Genomic DNA, 22476 nt, shown 5'->3' with positions numbered 1-22476 from the left:
GGGATGTGGGGATGAAGAACCCCTCTGGAATGTGAGGCCTCCCCCACTGGGCCTCAGTGGACTTTCCCAACTCAACGCAGTGTGGCCTACAAAGCCCTAGTTGGGAGTTACAACCTGGGATTTGGCTCTCTGCCATTCGCTGGCAGGCTGGCTAGGAGAGAATCATTTTCCAAGTCTGGACCTTGTTTTCTCTACCAATAAAAGAGGTTAAGTTTTAGACATAAACAACTATTGTTTATGTTCAATATGGGTACTGAACTAGATAAGTGAATTTTCTTTTTTAAGGCCCTTTTAAGAAACGGAAGCGTCCACAGAAACTCAGGAATAAAAGCGTTCAGTGCTAGGCAGCTGGGGTTGAAACAGGCCTAGGAACAGGGGCTCTGGCAGCTGGAGCCACTGGACCAGATGGGGCTCAAGGTCCCTCCCGCTTTATGAATAGAGGCCCTGGGCCCTGCTTTATGAATAGAGGTGACAACACCTGTCCGGAAAGGAGTGGGGCTAATGAGATGGTTGCCTGGAAAGCTAGCAGAGCTGGAACACAGGTGCTCCATCAGTGAAGGGGCCAAGGTGCTCCGTCAATCAGTGAAGGGGCCGCTATGACCGCTTGCTTGTGCTTTCCCAAATTCTCCCCTTTAAATACAGCTCAGCACCCTGCCCCTTCCTCTCCCTGCCACCAGCCCTCTGGGAACACTTTGCCCTCTGCATCCCTACCATAGCACGGCTTCGGGCTGGTAGCTAGTTGTTTATGTCTAAAACTTAACCTCTGCAATCCAAGCAAGTTCCTGAAAGGAGAGCACTTTCTTTCACAGCTCTAGATCCCCCAGGCTGCCTGGGAGGCAGATGTTCGGTTCATGTCTATGGGTGGACAAGCCCAGACCAAGAGGCAGAAGAGATGCCACTGCAGCAGTAACTAGAATGTGGCCCTGGCTTGGTGTTCACAGAACGATGTTCCTAAGGAGGGGAAGGTGAATCCTGGGGCCCTTGCGCCTCACAGCACAGCTGTAACTAACTGTTTGTTAGAGAGTGCGAGACAGAAAGCCAAACAGCCAAGCTGTCGTCATCTCAGCCAAACGGTGTAGGATGCGAATCACTGATCCTGAGCCTGCGTCTCGCCTGTGCCCACGCCTCTGCCAGAAAACCATCAAGACGCTTTCCAATTCAAAGACTCAGAAGAATTAAGGCTGCGTTCATGTCGCTTCTCATTTATTAATTCAGTCTGTTCTAAGTTGTGTACAGTTATGAAAATAACAAAACCAAAGCTGGAAGCCCAGAAATATTTACACTCTCTTGGGTACTGAGGTCAGTCTATGTTGTTGCACAGATTGGTTATGTTTGGTACCTCAAAGTGTTTATAATTCAGACAAAATCAGACAGATTAACAATTTTATATACAGTAAAACAAAAGGGAAAGTCATTCAAGTATCAAAATACAGAGACAAAGATTAAATAACATTTTCATTACAGTTCAGTCCATTGCCACACCATGAGCAACAATACTTCTGAGCTGCTTTCTGCTGGCCTGGGCATCTCAAAGACAGACCCAATTCAGACTGGTTTTCTAATGTCTCTGACTGCAGCTCTGCCTGCTCCCTGCTCAAACCCGAGCATCTCGGGAACTCCCATTAGTGTCTGACGCTGGAGGGCCCAGGAGGGACGCAGAGAGCTGCACACGCAGAGCCTGTCGGGAAGGTCTTATGCGCTGAGCAGCTGGTGGGCAGGGGAGAAGAGGTGGACAAGAAGCCTGTGGCTGGGACAGGTACTGAGCCCATCTGAAGTCTCCCACCCGAATGGGCTCCTTCACAGTTCAGAAACGCAGCGACAGGGTCTGCCCCTGGTGTGACCTGCACTTGGAGAAGTGCAAAAGTAGGGGCCTTCCCACTTGAAGCCTGTCCTTAAAGTTATAATAACCTTTCTAGGAAAGGGAGACTACCCATCCCAGAGGAGAAGAAAAGAAAGAAAGGCCCAGTCATTTTCCTTTCTTGAATATTCAGAAATAAACCAATCTCTAAACAGAACCCAGAGCTAGAGCAGACTAGCCAAGGCTTCCAATATGAAAATACCCTGAATAAATAAAGATGATATAGCAGCTTCAAGCAGAAGAAACACCTATGGATGATCTAAGCACAAAAGACAGCTTGAGGAGTGCATCGTAGTGTCTGCGGTTTCTTTCGGACCTACCGCCCCGCCCCCGACAGAGGCCCACTTGGATGTGGCCTGGCCCCTTAGGAGGAAGACGGGCACCAGCATGTGCGCAGTGGCAGCGCAGTCTACTCTGGATGCTTTAGGGTTCCTGGTCAACTCTTGGAAGAAAGCCGGGGCCGAGAACTGTACAGCGGTAGCTCATGGGCATCCTCACAGGCCCTGAAAGGGGCAGGAAATGAAGTAAAACTGCAAGGTGTCGAGATCTTCGTTTAGTACCAAGAAGTGGAGGAGGGCCTGCCTCTACCGCAGAGAGAGCTGAGTCCCAGGCCCCAACCTGCTGGGTGCTTAGCAGATAGAAACCCACAAGGCCTGGCCTCTAGCCAGTCAGAGACACAGCCCCACTTCTGATTTCTGGCCAACCACATGGGTTAAGAATGTGCCTAACAGTACTCCCTGCACATACATACCAACAAAGAATTCAAATTCACAGCCTTTGCTGGCTGGGAAAGAGGAGTGTTGCTGAAGCCTGGATTATTCATCCTGGGACCTGATTGACCTATGCCAGGAAAGCTCGGAGCCTGCTAAAGTGCCCACAGGAGGAACTGGGCACACAGCTGAGCCAACTTTGCCTCTCAAATCCACAGCAGTTTCCCCTGCATTTCTACTCTAGTCCAGAGGGAAGAATGCAACCCAAGTTACTTTTAAAAACAAAGCGAGCAGCAGGAAAGCTTAAGAAGCAGAGGCGCACCGGGATGCCAGCCTGCCCCAAAGGCCACGCGGGGGAGCATCGATGCACTGTCACCTTATTTAGCCTTTTCCACACCGGGGGCCAGGGATGGGCCCAGCAGCCAAGTGTAACCGTCAAACCGATAATTCAGAGAATCAAAATGAGCCCCAATCACACAGGCTGATTAGACAAATCACAAATTGGCAAGTAGCAACCTTAGCTGACCCCACTCCAAGCATTAATGCCCCAAACAAAGCTGCTTTTCCTATTCTCTGACACAACGCAGGCAGTACGGCGCCGGCCAGCCCAGGGCAGTGCTCCGATCACTGACAGGTAAGAGGCCAGGGAGAGGCCTGGCGCTCTGGTGCTGGCTAAGACTTCCCAGCACTAGAAACTGCACACTTATCTTCATTTGGCCACTGAACCTTCCCATCGGGAACCCCAGAAATGGACCGGAAACCTTTGAGTTGCTCAGGTGCCTCTAAGGCTGTGTTCTTACGAGAAGCCTGTGTCTAGCCCCTGAAAGGGACAGGAAGTTGGGCAGTTCATAAAGAGCAGCAGCTGATATGGTTGGGTTTGAAAAGCAGACGCACCGTACTCAATTCTGCCTGAGCCTGCTCCGTTCCCCTCACCCACAGGCCACCGCCTTCTCTTCCGACCCACTGAGCTGCACCCAAGTTCCGTCCTGAGGACAGAGGCTATGCAGGCTGGCCTCTGAACCAACCTCAGCTCCCCTGTCCTCTGCCCCATGGCCATTTGTCTAAAGATTGGCAGTATGACCTAGAGGTTTGAGCCAAGTGTTAAAAGTTCATTTTATAAAAAGATTTTTTTTCTGTTAAAAACAATGTGTTCTGAACAAGTCACTTCTTGACCCTCTGGAATGCCAGTCCCATCTGCTAGCGGCCTGGAGTGCTTCTCCACAGCCAAGGCAGGGCTCGTTCTGCAGGACGTGGTGGTGGCAGGCCCAGGCCAAGTGGCCAAGAGGAGGTCCTGCAGGCGGAGGTGAGGCCTGGGTCTTCAGAGCTGCAGGTGAGGCGATGGCGGTGGTGGCAGTGGGAGCCTATGCCCCCACGTCTATGTTTCCGCAGCACAGTGTGGTTCCTCAGTGGCTCAGCTTGGCAGAAGCAAACAATGGGGGGAGGAAAGGGTTAACCAATGGGGCCTGCGGACGGTGGAGGAAATGGAAAGGAAACACAGAGCAGGACAGACGATCCCTCACAGCCTCCCCGGGGCACCCTCCATGCCTGCTTTGAGCACCCACAGCCTGCAGCCCCCACTGCCTCTGGCTCAGTGACTCTGCTCAGGAAGGCACAAGGATGGGTGGGTACGCAGGACCCACCCAGTTTATCGACTTGGGTTTTGACTGCCCTGGCCGACTGGCTTTCCTAGTGGACTCTGCTATGTGTGCACGGCTGCCTATGGGCGCCGCTTCCTTCCTGTCTCCTGCCATCCAAACTGATTTGCCCACACTGGAGAATGGGGTGCCTCTTCAAAGACTCAGCTCCACCATCCCAGCTTCTGAGCTGCTGCGATGGGACGGCCTCTCCTTTCGGAGGAGTCAGGAGGCTGAGGGAGGTGGTCAGGGGCATGCTGGACGGCGCTGTCTATCTGTGATCCCCCACCGTGGAGAGTGTCAGAAAGCTCCCAGAGGACAATGGAGGCCACTTGGTCCAGGTCCCTGTCCTCCAGCAGCTCTGTTCTGTGAGGGAAGAAGGTGCGCCGTGTGTGCAGGGCACAGGCCGCCTCCTCGTTGGTTCTACGGAAGGCCTTCCTCCTCAGTGAGCTAGACTCCAGAGCCAGGCCCAAGGCTGCCAGGCCTTGAGACTCCATGGCGAAGATAGAGGGGCTGTCCACACACATGCCACCCACCTCCTTGGAGGGGAAGGCCCATCAGGACTGAGACACCTGCTGTGTGAGCCAGCCTGTGAGTGTTCAGATACCCAGAGCCCCAAGTGGGGCAGTCAGCACGGACCCAAGGGCCTGGCGCATATCTTGGGCCCTCACAGAAAGCAGTCTGTCCCTGGTCCAGCCACATCACTGAGCTCAAGGTCTCACAAGGGCCTAGCCATGAGAGTGAGGCCAGCACCTCGGAGTAGCGGAGGACAGTGGGGTGGGGCTGCAGGCCGGCTGTGAGCAGAGTGCTGGGGACTCTGGCACTGGGTGGTCACAGTGGTTGGTTGGTTCAGGAGAGGTGAGAACAGTCAGCTAGCTCTTGGCAACGGTGCCCAGCTGTGGCTCAGTACAGCAGACAGGAGGAGGGAGCCACACAGAGCCCAGCCCAACCCTGGGGAGCTATCAGTGCCGTTGGGATCCTGCTGGAGACTGCCCTGCCCGTCGGGGTTCACAGTGCCTGCCCGTGGAGGCTTCCAGGGTGCAACAGAACCCCTGAGCCCTCTTGATGCCCACCTCAAAGGCAACTCACCCCCTCAAGCTGTCCTCAGCCCAAGGGGGAGAATTCACAGTGTTCGGTGGTGGTAGGTGCGAGAGCTGCAAGTGTACAGCGTCTACGCTGCCGCCCGCCCAAGAGGAGCAGGTCCCAGTGCAGGTGGGGCCTTGGCATCAGCAGCTGGAAGGAGAGAGTTGAGGACAGCAGAAAGATCGGATGGCAAAGGCACAGTGAGACTAGTGGAGACAGGGAGTGGGTTGTTTTAGAAGATAGTGGTCTCATACTTGGTGCTGAGGCTCCGCTTAGAGTCTGGTTTGGGGTCCACAACCCAGGAGACACTGGCATGGGATTGGGCATCTTGGTCCATATCAGGTGGTTCCAGCTGCCAAACAAGGAAGCAGTCAAGAGTCAGAGGGAGCTCTGTGCCAGGGCTGGAGGCAGCAGGCCCCTCCCACCCCCAGGCCAGGCTGTGGCCCCTGTGCTGGGAGGGGCAGCCCTTATTCTCCTCGGCCAAAGAGCAGGCCCCTGGGGGCAGGCGGAGGAGGGACACCCTCCTGGAGCATCTTGGGGAGGGCCACCTCCAGGCACAGCTTCTCTCCGGGATTTCTTGGGATTGCTCAGTTAAAGGACCCCTGTCCTAGGCGGGCCTCCTGCTCTAAGCCCCAGACCCACTCACACTGGGCAGGAAGGGGATATGGGGCTTGCAAATGTCCAGCCTCGGGTCTCTCTGGTAGGCCCAGAGAGCTCACCCCAAGGCAAGACCACAGCAGTCACCCCAGACCTCTGGAGAGAGGACACACAACAGAAAAACAGAGAGGGCTGAAGCACACACAGAACAGGCAGAGGGCATCTCAGGAAGAGGGGAAAGAATGTCACACAGGCAGAGGGAGAGGCCGCCAGAGGCTAAGAGCGCTCACGGTCACTTCGGGGAGACTGACACACAAGACAGCAGGAGGCGTAAAGACCTTGACTCCAGGACTAACAGATGGCAGCGGTAGGTAGGAAGGACGGTGGGTGGTGCAGGTGTGACAGTAACAACAGCGACTATCGGGGGGCAGCGGCACCTGGGGTGCAGAGCAAAGCAGACACAGACACAGGGATGGCGCAGTTACTGGGGGCTGCCTGCAGGCCGCTCTCTGCAGCCCCTTGACGGCCTTGCCCTTGGGGGAGCCCAGCGAGGGAGGGAAACAGGAGCATGAGAGGCCCGCCCAGGCCAGAGGAGCTGCTGCCTTTCCAGGGGCGAGACCTGGCAGGGTTGGGGGACAATTAAGAGGGTCATTTCCCTGGAGGGCCAGCTTTCTGGAAGTGCCAGAAGACCCTCCTCACGCTGACCACCCTGAGCCCTTGAATCCCTGGGGCCAGGGAGAGGGGGATCTTGGCCAGTGGGGCCCACGTACTGCGGATTTCCTCACGCCGACCCGAGGCTTAGGCACCGGTTTGGAAGATTTTGTTTCAATCATCTCAGCTGCAGAGGCGCCCGTCGCCCTGGACTTCTGGGCCTGCAGGGCCAACTGATAGGCCACTTCGAAGGCCTGCCCCAGCGTCAGGATGATCTCGTAGGTCAGGTTCTGGGAGGAAGCAGATCACCACTTAAGCACCTGGTTCAGGAGCCGCTTCACACTGGATATGCCCTTCCTCGCAGGGACCATGTGTCCCCCTCTAAGTCTACCCGGGAGCGCTCCTACCTCCTTCCACTCTTCCCTCCTTTCCCTCCTTTACTCTTCCTAGGTCTCTGTTGTTCTTCCCGCTCTACACAGGATGTGGCCGGGAGCTGGGCTGCGGGGAGGGCAGGTGCACACTGCTGTAAGCCTACGGCAGGTCTTTTCCAAGGCAGGGTGCCGTGCCTGCAGCAGTACTTGGGTATTTCTTACCATTTAATGTAAGTGGTGCTAGTGCTTTTATTTTTAATGTGTCACCGACAAAGTCTGTGAGTGCTGTGCCCCTAACTCCATTTCCCCATAAACCCTGTGGTTTTCCTTGTGTGATTTTACACAGCACAGTGATTGTTAGGAGCGTATGTGTGGCGTTACAGCAGAACTGAGTGTATGTGGGAAAAGTCAGCAACAGGTAAATGCCACTGACTGTGCTGTGTGGACCACCTCATCCATCTCACAGTGGCCCCTGAGGTGGGCCACATTATATCCCCTCCAGACAGATGAGGAAGCAGGCAGATGCGATGTTTCCAAGCTCACACAGCCAGCAAGCAGCAAAGCCTGGTTCCTCCTAACCTTCACTGGCCCAGAGCAAACAGAGGACTGGGGTGGATGAGGTCCCAGGAGTGTGGGGATGCCCAGAGCTGCCTGTATTCCAGGAGCCACAGAGATTCTGGAAGCAGCTGCTATCCCTGAGGGCGGCAGAGACCTGGACCCCTCTGACTTCCTCCCGGGGTGAGGAAGCAGCCTGGGGCCACTCTCATGCTTTGTTGCAGGTTAGAGGGAACCCCCGCCTGTGGGCTGTCAGTTCTGGTCTGCTCCCTGTGGGCAGCTGTGTGAGAATGAACTCTCCTCGGCCCAGTGGCATCCAGAGCCGAGCCTCAGCAGGAATTTGAGGGAAGAAAATCTGCCAAAGAGGGCACCACTGCCCCTAAGAGGGAAGTAGAGGGCATTTCTGGGAGGCGGCCCAGCCAGAGGTTGGAGACCTAGGGCAGGGAGCCGGGGGAAACAAAGGCCTTGCCTGACCTAAGAAAACACTCGCCAAAAAGCTGGAAAGTCAGGGGCGGTGGCTCACGCCTATTATCCAGTTACGTGGGAGGCTGAGGTGGGTAACTTGCCTGAACCCAGGAGTGCAAGGCAAGCCTGGGCAACATAGTGAGACTCCATCTCTTAAAAAAAAAAAAAAAAAGCTGGAACCTCCTGTCCCTAGTGCCCTGGGCCAGTCCCTGTTCCCTCTGCGCGTCAGTCTCATCACTGTGAAAGGGGACCGGCCTGAGTGCTGCTGGGCTCCATTCATGAACCAAACATTTGCCAGGCACTGGCCAGGGGCCAGGACAGCGCCGCATCTGTGCCCTGCAATGGGGCTGGACGCCTCAGGGCTGCAACCCAAGCCTGCCCCACCCGGCCCCAGGACCCCACCCACCACATCCACGGTGCTGAACACATGGCAATAGTGGTGGCTGGTCTGCAGGTCCTTGGTGATGTAGGCAAAGGTACAGAGGTCCTCCGGGTCCTGGGCCGCACAGGAAATGTTCCGGATCTCGTGCTCTGCAATGACGTTCTGCTGGGGAAAGCCGTGTTCTGGAATTCTCAGGCTCAGGCATGCCTCTGGCACCCCCTGCCCCAGCCTGTTACCATTGTCACTGTTCTCTGTCCCAGCCTAGAGCATCAAGCAAACCCCCCTTCATCTTCTCATTTTGTTTATTGGTGGGGGTGGGGGTCCCCGATTTTGGTTTGGGGTCTCCACCCCTTACCACAACAACTAAGGCAGTAAAATGTTCACACCCAACCACAAGCTCTCCCCAGCCCCTCCCACCTTCCAGGGTGGGGGCAAAGTGGGAAGGGTGTCAGGAAGGTGGGATCCCACACGGTGGCACACAGAGAAAGTCCTTTGCTCACGGAGGGAATCACACCTGTGAGCAGGTGTGCGGCCAGTGGAGCCCAGGTGGCGAGGCTAACAGCAGTGATCACTAGGGCGGGGACGGGGCTGACAGCAGGCACCCAGGCCAGCAGATGAGAGACACGCCTCTTAGCAAAGTGGGAAGTAATAAGAGGACTGGGGACCCTCTAGGGAGATAAGAGATGAGACAGGGCAGCCGGGTTGCTTGCCCTGGAGCCCTGTGGGTCTGACGGGGATGTGGGTCCCACTCCCACCAAGAGTCCCTGTAAGCAGCACACCTTGTTGGAGGCATCGATGAACTTGACACCTTTGTATGTGATGGACAGGATGATGGTGGGGATCTTCTTCATGTGCTCCGTAGATTTCTACAGGAAACAAGGGGTGGCCCTGTCAGTGCCCCTTCTCAGGGCTAAGCCTCCTGGGCTTCCACAGGTCCCAGCTTCCTTCCCATCCTTACATAGTGCAGCAGGGCCCAGGCAACTGCAGCTACTGCCCCCATTGCTGCCTTCTGCTGGCCAGTCCCACAGCGCCCTCCAGCCCACACAGGCACCCTACCCGCATCTTGGCACAGGCGTCTTGCGTGGATTCTGTCCCTCGCAGATCTTTGATCAGCATGGAGCCCAGATACTGTGGGGGCGAGCAGTGGCCAGGCTTAGGAAATCCTGCGTTTCCATGCAGGGGTGACCCAACCAATTTGGGACTGTCCCACAATCAAGTAGTTACCCCTCTCAATAACAACACCCCCTCTCCTGCCCCAGCTGGAGAGACCCTCCATTCAACTCCCTAGCTAAAGGATCCAGAGGCCTCCACCCCTTCGCCTTAGCTGTCAAGAGTGGCTGAGAGTGGAGAACAGCTCAAAAGCCCTGGGCCTGGCTTTGTGGAGTCCCTGCTGGGACTTGGCCGCAGGTGCCTGGCCGAGAAGGAGCAGGGAGGCCGGCCCTGCTGGGAGGGTGGGAGCAACTCACATTGGCTTCATAACCACAGGACTCGAAGATGAGTTTCTCTGGCTGGTGTTGCCAACTCTGCACTGGGGCGTAGGGGGCTGCCAGGCTCGGGGGCCGCAGGGTCAGCTTGGCCTCACGGTGCTCCTCCTGCGAAACACACGCAATTGGACACCTGCTCCTTGCTCCAGAGGAGCACATGGGCTTGCTGCCTGGCTCCAGCACACTCAAGGGTGAAGATGCCAGTGACCTTAGCAAGTTCAAGGGTCGAGTGGAGATGGCAGGGGGCAGACCAGCAATTCAAACACACTGCGGGAGAGGGGAGGTGCTAGCCACAGCAGAGGCACAGCAGGGACCCAAACCGCCTGAGAGCAGGGCTTGGGAAGGACAGTCTCTGTGGTGTCCGAGATGAGTCTCAAAGGAGATGGGAAATGACCAGAGAGGAGATGGCAGAGTCTGTGTGGGGGGCACAGGCTGCCAGGCTGTTCTGCACAAAGACCAAAGGAGAGAACAGCGCCCACGAGACCCTGGGACGCCTTGGGACCCAGCCCAGGGCCTGGGAGGGATCTTCACAGCGGGGAAGCCAGTGAAGCACCCGCCCGTGCCTAGGAATGCATTCCAAATGGATCCTTCTGGCAGCAGCTAGGGGGTGGGGGAGGCCACTGCGGTCCAGGTGAGAGATCATGGGTCCCTGTCCAGGGCACTGGTGGAAGGAATGGAGAGGAAGGAAAAGATTCAGGAAACACGGAGGCCCTCCCTTCCCAGCAGTGCGCAGAGCCTCTCAACAGCAACCGGAATTGCTGGACAATGTGTTTAAAAATCCTTTAAAACTCATGGCTGTGCTTGTAGAAAGGGAAAGGAAGTCCCCAGAGCCAGAAGTGAGAAGTGAGAGTCAGAGAAACAAGCAGGGGTGAAGCTGAAGTTCACCCGGAGGGGCCTGAGGGACACCTGCTAATCCTGTGTCTGACAGGCCAAGAAGAGGACAAAGGACAAAGCCAAGGTCCGTACAAGGAGGGAGGCAGGACAGGCAGGTCCTGAGTAAATCCAGGACCCCTGGAAATGATGCCCTGAGAAGGTGAGCCAGGAGTGTGAGACGGGCCCACCTCCGCCAGGGCTGGAGCGGGCACCGGGAGCGGAGGAGGCGTCTCCAGCGGTGCCCCCCACGGGGCTGCAGGCAGAGAACAGGAAGAACAGAATCTGGTCTGGCTGTGGTTTTGCTGAGCAGGAGGAAGAGAATGCTGCCGAGGTGAAGCTGCAGGGAAAGCAGTTCTGGGGAACAACGTGGGTAAGCAGAGAAGGAAGGGGCCAAGAAGGAGCTCAGAGGCCAGGAGAGCACAGAGGGCTCTGGGGCCAGCAGGGGAGGCAGTGCAGGACGCAAGAGGCCACAGAGAAAGAGCGGACAGGGGATCTGAACCCCTGAGGGAGGGAAGTACAGGACACAGGAGTGGCCCCAGCAGCTGACAGCTAAAGTGAGTTGTGCGGCCCGAGCTCGGCACCATGGGTGCTGGGTGGGCCTTACGCAAGGCGGCTGGGTGTGGGCGAGCAGAGCAGGCTAGTGCCTCCTGACTCTGGTGCCAGCCCAACTGTGCTCAAGTATGGGGCAGCAGGTGGTTCTGGGAGGCCCTGTCCCACCCAGAGGAATGAGGTAGAGCCTGGCTGCACCTCCACTCCCCCTGCCCCACCTGGATCCTGAAGCGCTCCGCTCGGGAGGGTGCCGCAGGGTCATGGAGACTGTCATGGCGCCTCCTGCCTGTGTCCCCTGGAGGCAGCAGCAGATCTGCCGACCGCCCAGTGCAGGAATCATTCTGACTCAGTGGGGATGACGTCTGGGAGAGCAAATCTTGGCACTGTGGAGGGAAAAATCCAGGTGGAACTTGCAACCCTCGGCCCAGTGCCCGACTACAGGTATCAGCCAGCCCCACTGGTTAGGACGGCACAGGCAGCGGCACCGGGAGAAGCAGCAGGGAGCGAAGGGGCCAACACCACAGGGGTGTCAGACAGGTGGCACCACGCAGCCACCGTCCACTAGTGTCCCCCGAGAGGGCGGGGAAGCCACTTTTGCATTTATAAAAGATTAAATCTTCTGTCCTGATCCATTGCAGGCCTCTGCACATGACCAAACAAAGCACCCCCTTGAGAAAAAATGGAGCCCTGTCAGTCAGGGCCCTAAAGCCACCGTCCCCAACAGAATACAATCCTGGCTTCTCAGTGTCTATATCTGAATGTCAGTTGTGTGTTTGGTTCCCAGAGCAAGGCTGGGCCTCCACTTTCTCATCTGTAAAAGGAGGATGAACAGGACCCACTTCACGAAGCCCCTGAGGGTTCAATGGGGTGAGACCTGCGGGGCAGGCCCAGTGCACCCGAGGGCTCGGGGAGCGGCTGCTCTAGTTACCGCCATTCCTGCATGTTCTGGCCTGGGGCTGGGGGAGAGCTCTTCCTCAGCTGCAGGCTCTGAGTCTAACCCGTTTCTGTTGTCAGGAATTACCGGCAGGAGCAACAGATCATGGGTGAGGTTTTTAAAATGCAAGCTGTCTTAGCCACCCCAGCCTGGGAATTCGAACTCAGATTTGGGGGGTGCCCAGGTGGCTGTGAGTCCTGGCCTTTTGGATTTGTCTCAGGTGTTACCTGACTCGGCCCCTCCCTGTCCCCAGGCACAGAGCTGAGTTCAATACCCAGCCATGGCCTGGTGTTTTCCTACTATCCCCCAAGTTTTATGTGTTTGATCGGCCATCCCCAAGTAGAAACAGGTGGCGGGGAACTTCTCTAAACCTCCTCTCCTGTACTCCTCTCTTCTTGTTGGAGCTGCTTTCTCCTACACTACAGTGGTCTCTGAAGAATCCTAAAGAATTCTATGTAATTCCTGCAAATACAGGGAACAAACATACATTCCTTTCTGTCCCTCCCCGACTCACCCTCAGCTGGGAGAATCTGGGGGGCTTCTGGGGCGGCTCCTCGTACGGTCTGTCTGCGAGGGAGGCGATGATGCGCTTGCGATGGCCGAGCAGCTGGACCTTCAGGACCTGGGTGATGAGGAGCAGCGAGGTGACAGGTCAGGTGGCCAACTCACTCACAGTCCGCTCCAGCCCCCAGCATCTTCCGCTGGGCCAGGCTGCCCCTAAGGGAAGCTCAGACTTCTGGAGAGTCCAGGCCGGGCCACGCAGGGACTACTCACATTGACGAGCTCTAGCTCCCAGAGGTTCTTCACGGTGTCAATGGAGCTGTAACCACTTGACAAGAAGGAATGGACGTAGTCCTGCAGCCCCAGGGAGTCCAGCCAGGAGGGCACGCTAGGGGGGCTGTTCCCGTCATAACCCAGAGCCTTCACCTACAGGGCAAGGAGGGAGGTGAAACTGACATCTCAGCACTCACAGGAGAGGGACCCGAGGACCATGGACCCAGCCAGCTCACACAGACTGTGGCCAGGGGGCCCTCTGTGTTTGGGGTCCTCAGCACCTTCCAGCCCCCCACTTCGCACAGCCTTTCCTATCACTTGCTGGTCTCGGCTTCCCCATGGGGAAGGCAGGAGCCGCTGGAGCACCGACAGGGCTGGAAGATGGCCCTAGCAGACAAGCCTAGGTAGGGAGGGGGGGTCTGCAGAACGCCTCCGCCCTGAGCTCCGCTGAGGTCACGGGCCTGGAGGGACAAGAGAATAGTGTGTGCCCTCAGAGCGGGCGCTTCCCAAGCTCTGGACAGGTAGAAGGGACGGGGCCACTGCATTCAGCACAAGTGCAGGGGAGAGGCTCAGGCCCACCAGCTCCTGGCTCCCCAGGGAAGACGGTACTTCCCTCAAGCCCACTCGGGGAGGGGCCCGGTGCCAGGGCTCAGTGCAGGCTGGCCAGGGCTCCAGTGAGCCAGAGAGACCATGAAGGGGGCTCTGGGTGAAAGGCCAAGCCAGCGGGTACCAGGCTCCTGGGCCAGGCAGACCCCCAGAACCTCCTCATGACCCCAGAGGAGCCTGCTCCCTGCCCTAGGGCTCTGCTGACTCTCCAAGGGCCTTAGGGCATAGTGAGGAAGCAAACAGGGTTGTGTGCGGCCCTTCCGGAGCTCCTAGGGTGAGGGGTAGAGGTCCTGCTATGATGTGCGTGTGCTGGAGCCCTGCTCCTCCCCTGTTCTTGGTGCAGGTGGTGCTAGGGAGGTGGCCCTGGCTCCGCACGGGCTGAGGCTACAGGGCCGGCGATGGTCACCTTGGGTAGGGAGCGTGCCGCCTGGAGCAGCTTCCGCCGGTGCTGTGGGTCGCTGATGCCGATGTCCCGCAGGTCCTGCTCTTCCATCACATTAGACCCCTGAGAGCAGAAAGGTGGATGTCAGGGCCCCTCCTGGATGGATGGCTGGTGGCCCTGAGGGGGTCAGGTGGGCCTTTCAGGGCCCTGCACCAAATTCTCCTTCACTGCAGGCACCAAGAGGGCATGGGGACAAGTCTGCCCAGACTGCCCACGTCCATCCGGGCGGCTCCCAGGGGAGCTAGGCAGAGCTGGGGCTCCAGAATATGCACAGGGTGCTGAGGCCGGCCAGGGCACACAAGGGTGGGGGTGCCGCCTGCCCAGGCCCAGCCACAAGTCCCGGCCCCCTGAGTGTGTGTGCATTTTTCTGGGGAGCAGGTTCCATGCATCCAAGATAAAGAACTAGTGGACTCATCCTAAGGTTCCTCTTAGACAGGATTTTATAATTCTAAGGTTGTAACAACCACCTCAGGCGGGTGGCTGGTGACAGACTTGGGTACCCGAGGACCCAGCCTCACCCCAAGGAGAGAAGCCTCCAAGGGGGAGACTGTCAGAAAAGGGCGTCCTTGTCCCAGGGAGAAGGGTGGGTCAGAGCTGAGCCCAGTCCGTGCTGTTTTCTGAGACCTCCACTGGCCTCAACGGAGCAGCTGAGGGTGGAGAGGCACACGGAGCGCCCACCTGCAGCGCTAAGCACGATGCAAGGATGTGGGGGCGGAGGCTGGTGCTCCTGCTCCTTTCTTACTATATGACAGGGCCGAGAGCTTTCACCTGGCGCATCCCACTTCATGCTCACAACCTGCATGTTAGGGTCTCTGTTAATCCCGTTAATCTAACAGATGAGGAAACTGAGGCACACAGAGGTCAGAAATTTCTTGACATCACACATCTAGTGGTGGAGCTAAGAGGGGACCCTGGGCAGCCTGACTCTCTCCTTCACGCTCCTGGCCCCTGCGAGGACGTCTCTAATTACAGAAGTCACAAGATAGTGTGAGCAGATTTAATTTTAAAATACACAGTGTGGCCTATGATGCAAAATTCACAGGTCCTGCCCATCCCTCAGCCATGGAGGCCCTCGCAGTTGCAGCTGCTGCCACTTCCTGGACGTCCCCAGAGCCCCGCTGGGCACAGACAGGCCTGTGCCTGCACACTGCATTTTCACACAAATGCCATTCTCGCACACGCTCGGTGCCTTGTTCTTATCACGGAATATACACAGGAGATTGTTCCGCAGCAGTGCATGTGGGCCCACCTCCTTTGGACAAGCTGCAGCATCATCTAGGTTAGGAATATGCTATAATTTATTCAGCCAGTTCCCTGTTGAAGGACATTTGCTCCAACTTCAGCTACTGCACACAGTGCTGCATGAACACCCTCCCCGTGAGTGTCGTGTCTAGGCCTGTTATGAGGAAGGGTTTCTGCTTACTTGAATCAAGGGTGCGTGCCTTAACACTGACAGCTCTTTCTGCTCTTCTTAGTGACGCCAGTGCTAGATCCCCCACACCATCAGCAACACAGCAGGGAAAGAGTCTCCCTGCAGTTTCAATTTGCACATTTCTTATCGGAGTAGGATCATCTCATCCAGAGGTGAGGATGAGCATCTTTCCACGTTTTATCTATCTAGCATTTCCAAAGCACTCCCTCCCTACTCCACGCTGGACCTGCCCAAGCCATTTAGTAATAGGGACTATTGTGGCCAGGCGCGGTGGCTCACCCCTGTAATCCCAGCACTTTGGGAGGCTGAGGCAGGTGGATCACCTGAAGTCAGGAGTTCAAGATCAGCCTGGCCAGCATTGTGAAACCTGTCTCTACTAAAAATACAAAAAATTAGCCGGGCGTGGTGGCAGGCGCCTGTAATCCCAGCTACTCGGGAGGCTGAGGCAGGAGAATCATTTTGAACCTGGGAGGCAGAGGTTACAGTGAGCCGAGATCACGCCACTGCACTCTAGCCTGGGCGACAGGGTAAGATTCCACCTCAAAAACAAAACAAAACCAAACAAAACAAAATTGGGACTGTTGTTATTCCCACCCTACAACTGAGGAAGCTGAGGCCCATAAAGCCCTGGTGACTTGCCAAGGTCACATGGTAAGTGCATTTGGAGCCAGATTCAGCCCCAATGCTGCTGTCCACATGGCCCTGGTGCCGCACACTTGGGGACACCCAGAGCTCCTTGAGTTAACTGGCTTATAGCCTCAGAGTTTTTCTTTTTTTGAGACAGAGTCTCGCTCTGTCGCTCAGGCTGGAGTGCAGTGGCACGATCTCAGCTCACTGCAAGCTCTGCCTCCTGGGTTGACGCCATTCTCCTGCCTCAGCCTCCCAAGTAGCTGGGACGCCACCACACCTGGCTAATTTTTTGTATTTTTAGTAAAGACTGGGTTTCATCGTGTTAGCCAGGATGGTCTCGATCTCCTGACCTCGTGATCCGCCCATCTCGGCCTCCCAAAGTGCTGGGATTACAGGCGTGAGCCACTGCGCCCGGACAGCCTCAGAGTTTTTCTATGAAGTTGTCGGTCTTTTCTGCGTAGCTATGTAGGAGTTCTTTACATAATAAGAAAATTGGCCAGGTGCAATGGCTTACGCTTGTAATCCCAACACTTTTGGAGGCCAAGGTGAGGTGGGAGGATCACTTGAGCCCAGGAGTTTGAGGCCAGCTTGGGCAACGCAGTGAGACTCTGTTTTTACAAAAATAAAAAAATTAGCCAGGAATGGTGGTGCGCAGCTGTGGTCTCAGCTACTTGGAAAGCTGGGTGGGAGGAACACTTGAGCCTGGGAGATTAAGGCTACAGAGAGCCATGATTGCACCACTGCAGTCCAGCCTGTTTCCAAACAAAAACAACAATATATGTGTGTGCACAAGTGTGTGTGTATGTGTGTGTACATACAACAAAAAATAAAGCAAATTAACCTTTTGGCCAGGCGCGGTGGCTCGGCCTGTAATCCCAGCACTTTGGGAGATCGAAGTGGGCAGATCATGAGGTCAGGAGTTCGAGACCAGCCTGACCAACACGGTGAAACCCCGTCTCTACTAAATATACAAAAATTATCCAGGTGTGGTGGCGGACGCCTGTAATCCCAGCTACTCGGGAGGCTGAGGCAGGAGAATCGCTTGAACCCAGGAGGCGGAGGTTGCAGTGAGCTGAGATCGCGCCACTGCACTCCAGCCTGGGTGACAGAACGAGACTCCATCTCAAAAAAAAAAAAAAAAAAGAAAATTAACCTTTTATCTATGAAATGAGTTAGATATTTGTTTTCCAGTTTGCTATTTATCTTTTGGCTTTTATGCTGGCTTTGTTCATGTAGAAATCTATTTTTTGTAGCTAAGTGTACCCAACTTTTCTTGCAGAGCTTCTCAGTTATGTCAGGCTTAAAAAGATCTTGCCTTTCCAAGATTGTGTTTTACATTCTTCTATATTTTTTCCTGTAATTTGTTTCCTTTTTTATAGCTAAATCTTTAATCCATCTGGAAATTATTTTGCTGTAAGGTGTAAGAGTCAAGATCCAACCTTATTTTTGCCCTGGCAGCAAGCTGTCCATTTCTTGATGAGCTATCTTTTCCCCCCAATCTGGAATGGCCTCTATGGTGTCTGAAATTCCTGTGTATTTCTGGGCCTCTTTCTGGACTTTTACTCTGTTGTGGTGGGCATTACTTTACACTTGGAAAAGCTAAGTGACTTGGGCCAGCTCATGCAGACCATGACTTGCTTGGCCCCCGCCCCGTGTGGTGACTGCTGGCCACGGGAGTCTCCCCAGAGCCTGTGCATGGTGACATAAACGTTGTCCCACAGAGGACACTGCCAGACTTAAGCTTCAGAGAGCCCAGGTGAAGAGAGCCCCAAAGCCAGGCTGGAAGCCCACTACTCTGCTCCACCTGCAGAACACACCCCTTGCTGGGCACAAGCGAGGCCTGGGCACCACTCCAGGTCTGAGGCCAGCCAAGTCACCCCCAAATCTGAGAGTCACCACAGAGTTCCTACAGTGGCTCTGGGACCAAATCTAACGTCTGCTGTTGCAGAAAGGCAGAGAGAGGCAGCCGCCTTCCCAGACTTTTTTTTTAAAAGTGGAGTGCAGTGGTGTGATGATGGCTCACTGCAACCTTGACCTGGGCTCGAGTGATCCTCCTGCCTCAGCCTCCTAAGTAGCTGGTACCATAGGCATGTACCACCATGCCTGGCTATTTTTTTTTTTTGTAGAGATGGGGTCTCACTATGTTGCCCAAGCTGGTCTTGAACCCCTAAGCTCAAGTAATCTTCCTGCCTCGACCTCCCAAAAGTGCTGGGATTACAGGTGTGCACCACTGCCCCTGGCCCCGGCCCAGACTTTCTACCTGATTATGAGGATACCAAAGCGAACGGCTGAGCTGAGCCTGCCTCAAACCTCCAAGAGGACGTGGACGTCCAAGAGTGACTGCGGCACCGCAGTGATGTTCTAAACTCCCACTCAACCCCAGCATTGACTCAGAAACCTTCGCCAGCTTTCAGGGCACCTGAAGGCTGACAGCGAGGAAAGCCAGATCCGCCGGAGACAGGCCCTTTGCTAACCAGACCTTGGCCAGCAGAAGGGCGGGCTGTGTGCAGCTTTGAGGAACAAGAGATGAATGGAAACACACAAAAATAAAGGAAATGACAGAAAAGAAAGGCAAACCATTGCCAGAGCACATTCCGGGCGCAGCGCGGGGTCCTCCCAATTCCTGAAGTAGCCATATCTCCGCACCGGGGGATGAGCTTGTGTGGTGACTACTCAGTGCCACATATCCTCAAAGGGCAAGAAACGTTTCTGGAAGTTACCACACCCTCTTTACTCAGGGAGAAGGGACCACTGGCTTTTAGAAACCTCTTCACAAGGAGGGTCATGGGGGAAAAGAGATTTTCTACTTTATCTGCTACCATGCTAACATTTACTGAGTACTTACTACATGGCAGGACACTTCTATAATTAGGAAGTGAATAAAGGACAACAGTTCATTGTCCTAGGGATTTTAGTTAACAGGGATTGTCTCAGCTTTGATAAAAGCTTCACAACTCCAAGTGACATCTGAAACACACAACTAGTCTTCCGGCCTGGCCTGGTTTGGGTCCAGTCCCTGAGGAAGAGGGGACAGGAGGGCTCCCAGCAACCAAGGCGGGACAGAGCACTGATCTTCGCCTGGGATCTGGGCCTCCCCCTGTCCTGACTCGCTCAGACTTCATATCGCCGGCAGGTGTCCGACTGCTCCCCGCTTTGCAGAGGAAAAAGTGCTCCCATGGAAGAGGCAGAGCCAGGATGGCCCCTGGCGGCCTGGCTCCTCAGCCTGTGATCATGGCCATGGCCTGCTTTGGAGAACTCAAGGGAAGGGGACAGCAAGAAGTGCTCCCCTGGGTCACTGAGCTCTGGGCATAACAAGAGTTCCCTGGGCACCCTCTGCCGGGCTTTGTGGGAGGTGACGTGTGACGTGTGGCCTGTCCTGGGCTCACAGTGAAGATGCGGGCCAGTGATACTGAGTTCTGACCACAGTCCAGCACTGTGCTAGGGGCTTCACACCCATGACCTGCAAAAATCCGCCCAATAAACCTTTCAGATAGGAGCTGCTCACATTACACAGAAAGAAACTGAGGCTTGGAGAGCAGACTGGACTTATCCAAGGCCATGGTACTAGAGCATGGCAAAGGGACTGCTCAGGCCCCATCTGACCAACCCCAGTCGTCTTCCTCGGCTCTTCCTGCTGGGGCAGGCAGGGTGTACTGAAGACAAAAGCAAAGTGTGGGGGTGCGGGCAGACGCCTGCCAGACAGCAGGAGCAGGACACCCGTCCTGGGCTGGGGCACAGCCCCTGCTGAGCTGAGAGCCAATGCTGCCTCCCTCCGTAGAATCCCATCTCTCAGCATCGCGCATAAATGCTCCTCCCAGGACCCTCTCCCTCCTGGCCACCTTTTCTCCACCTCTCGGGGAAGGGACACTGTTCCTTTAACTGTACAGAATCCAATTCTTAGAGGTGAGTGGGTTCAGAAATGCCAGGGCCTCCAATAAGGGAGAAACAGGGTCAGGATGTGGGCCCAGGCCTCTGGATACATAGCACGGGCACTGTGCCAAGGGCCAGCCTGACTCTGGAAGAAGCCAGCCTGGCCTATTGGAGTTCAGTAAGGGGCTGGGTTTGTAGAGTCGCCCATGATCGTGGCTGGGTGCCCTTCCTTGGTAAGGTACACGTGAAGCGTCTACCATGGTGGCTGTAATCAGTGTCACTTTCCATCAACCTAAGCCATTTGAATGCTTTCTCCTTCCTGCGAGTATCTGTCACTGGGCTCCACCTGAAGATGCAGAAGGTAGCTGAAAGCATGGAGGCCCAGGCGAACGGAAGGAGCATGACAAGGGTCGGCCCGGGTCGGCCCCGGGCGTCCTGGGAGAGCAGGAGGCAGGAGAAGCGGCAGGGGCTACTGCAGGACCCACACTGCTTTCTTCCTGGCTTTCTCCAGTCCACTGGGGCTCTAACATCTTCAGAGCCTTCCTGCCCATGTGATTTTAGAAGGAAAATATCCTTTTGCATCTTGAAAGGCATCTCACGTGTTAATATTTTGCTTAACTGCAGGTGAGGTCTTCATTCAACAAAGTGGCAAAGGCCCAGGAAGGGGACTGTTTGGGAGTGGTGACACACTGGTGTAGACCCTTTTAGCCAAAGGGGAAATAGGAGCTGTCCTAAGTTACCACTGAGGGTTGCAGGGCAGCCCCAGATGGGGAGGGGCCGGCCTGGGCCTTGGACTCCCTCTCCCTCCACACTGGTTGCTGGCTGGGCTGCTTCCTGCAGCCCTGTCTACAGGATGGGGCAAATGGCAGGACCGCAGGAAGGCTCCACGAGGCCGGGGTAGGTAGGAGTTTGCTTTGACTTTAACGGATCTTCTGGAAACAGGACCCTGACACATCCAAACCGCAGAGAAGTTCTGACTGGGAGCGTGTGGCCAGCTCAGGGGGTGTGGCTCTGCCAGACAGCATCTGGTACCTCAGCGGTATGAACCAAAAATAAAACCATCAGCCCCCCAGGAAACTGAATGGACCCCCCCTCTAGGCCAAGGGGATCCCACAGAAACCTGAAAAACAGGTTCAGGCCATGATGGGTAGGGGCATTGGACCTGCCTCATTACACCCTCCTCCCTGTGGAATTCAGGCACAACAGTCCCACATTATCATTAAAGCAGAGATCCTAAGACTGACCCAGCGGACTCTGTAGCAACAAGACACCGAGTGCCAACCTGACTCCAGTATGGCATCGCATGACAGACAGCAGCCCCGAAACAAAGTATTTTACCCCCAAATATATTTCTTTAGCATATTTTGAAATGGCCCTGCAAAGCTGCCTCTTGTGGGGGAAATTTACATTCTATAGAGGATTCCCTTCCCTTTGATTTCATACATTTTAGGGAGACACAAGACATCAAGCGATATATGTGAGGTATGCACTGGTTCAGTCTGGAAAGGAGGGACAACTCAAAGCTGAAGTTTGGGGGTGGTGGCCTTACAGGTCACAAGTGGATTCAAAGATTTTCTGATTGGCAACTAGTTGAAAGAGTTTATCTAAAGGCCTGGAGTCAATAGAAAGAGGTGTCTGGCAAATCAACCTAAGTAAGGTTGATGACAACAAGAAACTAGGGGAATGGGCAGGCCTCTGTAAAATAGACAGAGAGGGGAAACCCTGGAAAGTGGTTGGTTGCAGTTGTGTAGTAGTTAAGGACTATGGCAAGGAGTCTCAGGCCAAGGATGTCATCGAAGAGTCCTTCAAATGCAAGAAATGAAGAAATAAATCTTTGGCGCGCACACACACACACACACACAAAGAAAAAAGAAAGGGGTGTCTGGGTTAAGATAAAGGCTTGTGGGCTGTGCACGGTGGCTCACGCCTGTAATCCCAGCACTTTGGGAGGCCGAGGCAGGCAGATCACGAGGTCAGGAGATTGAGACCATCCAGGCTAACACGGTGAAAAACCATCTCTAGTAAAAATACAAAAAATTAGCGTGGTGGCAGACACCTGTAGTCCCAGCTACTCGGGCGGCTGAGGCAGAAGAATGGCATGAACCTGGGAGGCAGAGCTTGCAGTGAGCCGAGGTTGTACCACTGTACTCTAGCCTGGGCAACAGAGTGAGACTGTCTCAAAAAAAAAAAAAAAAAAAAAAAAAGATAAAGGCTTGTGGGGACCAAGGTTCCTATTATGTAGATTAGGTGTCCTAGGTGATTCACCCTTAGAGGCAATAGATGGTAAGTGTTTTCTATTCAGACCTTTGAGAGGTGCTAGACTCTCAGCTAGTCTCTTCAGGATCGGAAAAAGACCTGGAAAGGGAAGGGGTGAGATGGGAAAGGAGGCTTTCTAGGAAGATGGGGGTTAAGCTGGGAAAGAGTTGGTGGAAGACCCAGCAGAGAGGCACCAGACTGCAAGAGCTGAAAATGACGACACTGCCACCAATACCAGTCATAGTCTAAACACAGGTGACAACTATTGATGCCCCTGTAGGGCCAGGTGCAATGGTTCAATGCCTATAATCCCAACACTT

The 22476-nt window shown here is 55.2% G+C and overlaps 1 protein-coding gene across 12 annotated transcripts in view, besides 5 other annotated features; it reads right to left on the bottom strand.

Moving 5' to 3' along the window:
- The window catches only part of ANKS1A (ankyrin repeat and sterile alpha motif domain containing 1A), a 208736-nt gene that overhangs the window by 5402 nt on the left and 180858 nt on the right, over positions 1-22476 (bottom strand). For 3 of the 12 annotated variants that reach the window (XM_006715036.3, XM_047418491.1, XM_047418492.1), the window contains 11 exons: positions 13933-14031; positions 12921-13073; positions 12661-12768; positions 11431-11595; positions 9773-9898; positions 9363-9434; positions 9086-9172; positions 8331-8471; positions 6653-6823; positions 5540-5637; positions 1183-3983 (listed from right to left, as the gene is read on the bottom strand). In XM_006715036.3, coding sequence (XP_006715099.1) covers positions 3980-3983; positions 5540-5637; positions 6653-6823; positions 8331-8471; positions 9086-9172; positions 9363-9434; positions 9773-9898; positions 11431-11595; positions 12661-12768; positions 12921-13073; positions 13933-14031 — 1224 coding nt within the window. In that variant the 3' untranslated portion in view covers positions 1183-3979. The other 9 variants (XM_005248964.4, NM_015245.3, XM_017010593.2 and 6 more) reach the window with 5 other exon arrangements.
- Positions 3470-4295: an enhancer, noted in NCBI's record as "H3K4me1 hESC enhancer chr6:35056071-35056896 (GRCh37/hg19 assembly coordinates)". NCBI's record gives its function as "activates a minimal SCP1, AML or CMV promoter by ChIP-STARR-seq in primed H9 embryonic stem cells {active_cell/tissue: H9 hESC(primed)}" and the evidence as "EXISTENCE:reporter gene assay evidence [ECO:0000049][PMID:30033119]".
- Positions 4296-5123: an enhancer, noted in NCBI's record as "H3K4me1 hESC enhancer chr6:35055243-35056070 (GRCh37/hg19 assembly coordinates)". NCBI's record gives its function as "activates a minimal SCP1, AML or CMV promoter by ChIP-STARR-seq in primed H9 embryonic stem cells {active_cell/tissue: H9 hESC(primed)}" and the evidence as "EXISTENCE:reporter gene assay evidence [ECO:0000049][PMID:30033119]".
- Positions 5862-6362: an enhancer, noted in NCBI's record as "H3K4me1 hESC enhancer chr6:35054004-35054504 (GRCh37/hg19 assembly coordinates)". NCBI's record gives its function as "activates a minimal SCP1, AML or CMV promoter by ChIP-STARR-seq in naive H9 embryonic stem cells {active_cell/tissue: H9 hESC(naive)}" and the evidence as "EXISTENCE:reporter gene assay evidence [ECO:0000049][PMID:30033119]".
- Positions 10670-11341: an enhancer, noted in NCBI's record as "H3K27ac-H3K4me1 hESC enhancer chr6:35049025-35049696 (GRCh37/hg19 assembly coordinates)". NCBI's record gives its function as "activates a minimal SCP1, AML or CMV promoter by ChIP-STARR-seq in naive H9 embryonic stem cells {active_cell/tissue: H9 hESC(naive)}" and the evidence as "EXISTENCE:reporter gene assay evidence [ECO:0000049][PMID:30033119]".
- Positions 21957-22458: an enhancer, noted in NCBI's record as "NANOG hESC enhancer chr6:35037908-35038409 (GRCh37/hg19 assembly coordinates)". NCBI's record gives its function as "activates a minimal SCP1, AML or CMV promoter by ChIP-STARR-seq in primed H9 embryonic stem cells {active_cell/tissue: H9 hESC(primed)}" and the evidence as "EXISTENCE:reporter gene assay evidence [ECO:0000049][PMID:30033119]".

Source organism: Homo sapiens, chromosome 6 (genome assembly GCF_000001405.40).
Source record: "Homo sapiens chromosome 6, GRCh38.p14 Primary Assembly".
Taxonomy (NCBI): Eukaryota; Metazoa; Chordata; class Mammalia; order Primates; family Hominidae; genus Homo; species Homo sapiens.
Note: the sequence above shows the minus strand (reverse complement) of the source record. Positions and strands in the feature narration are given on the sequence as shown.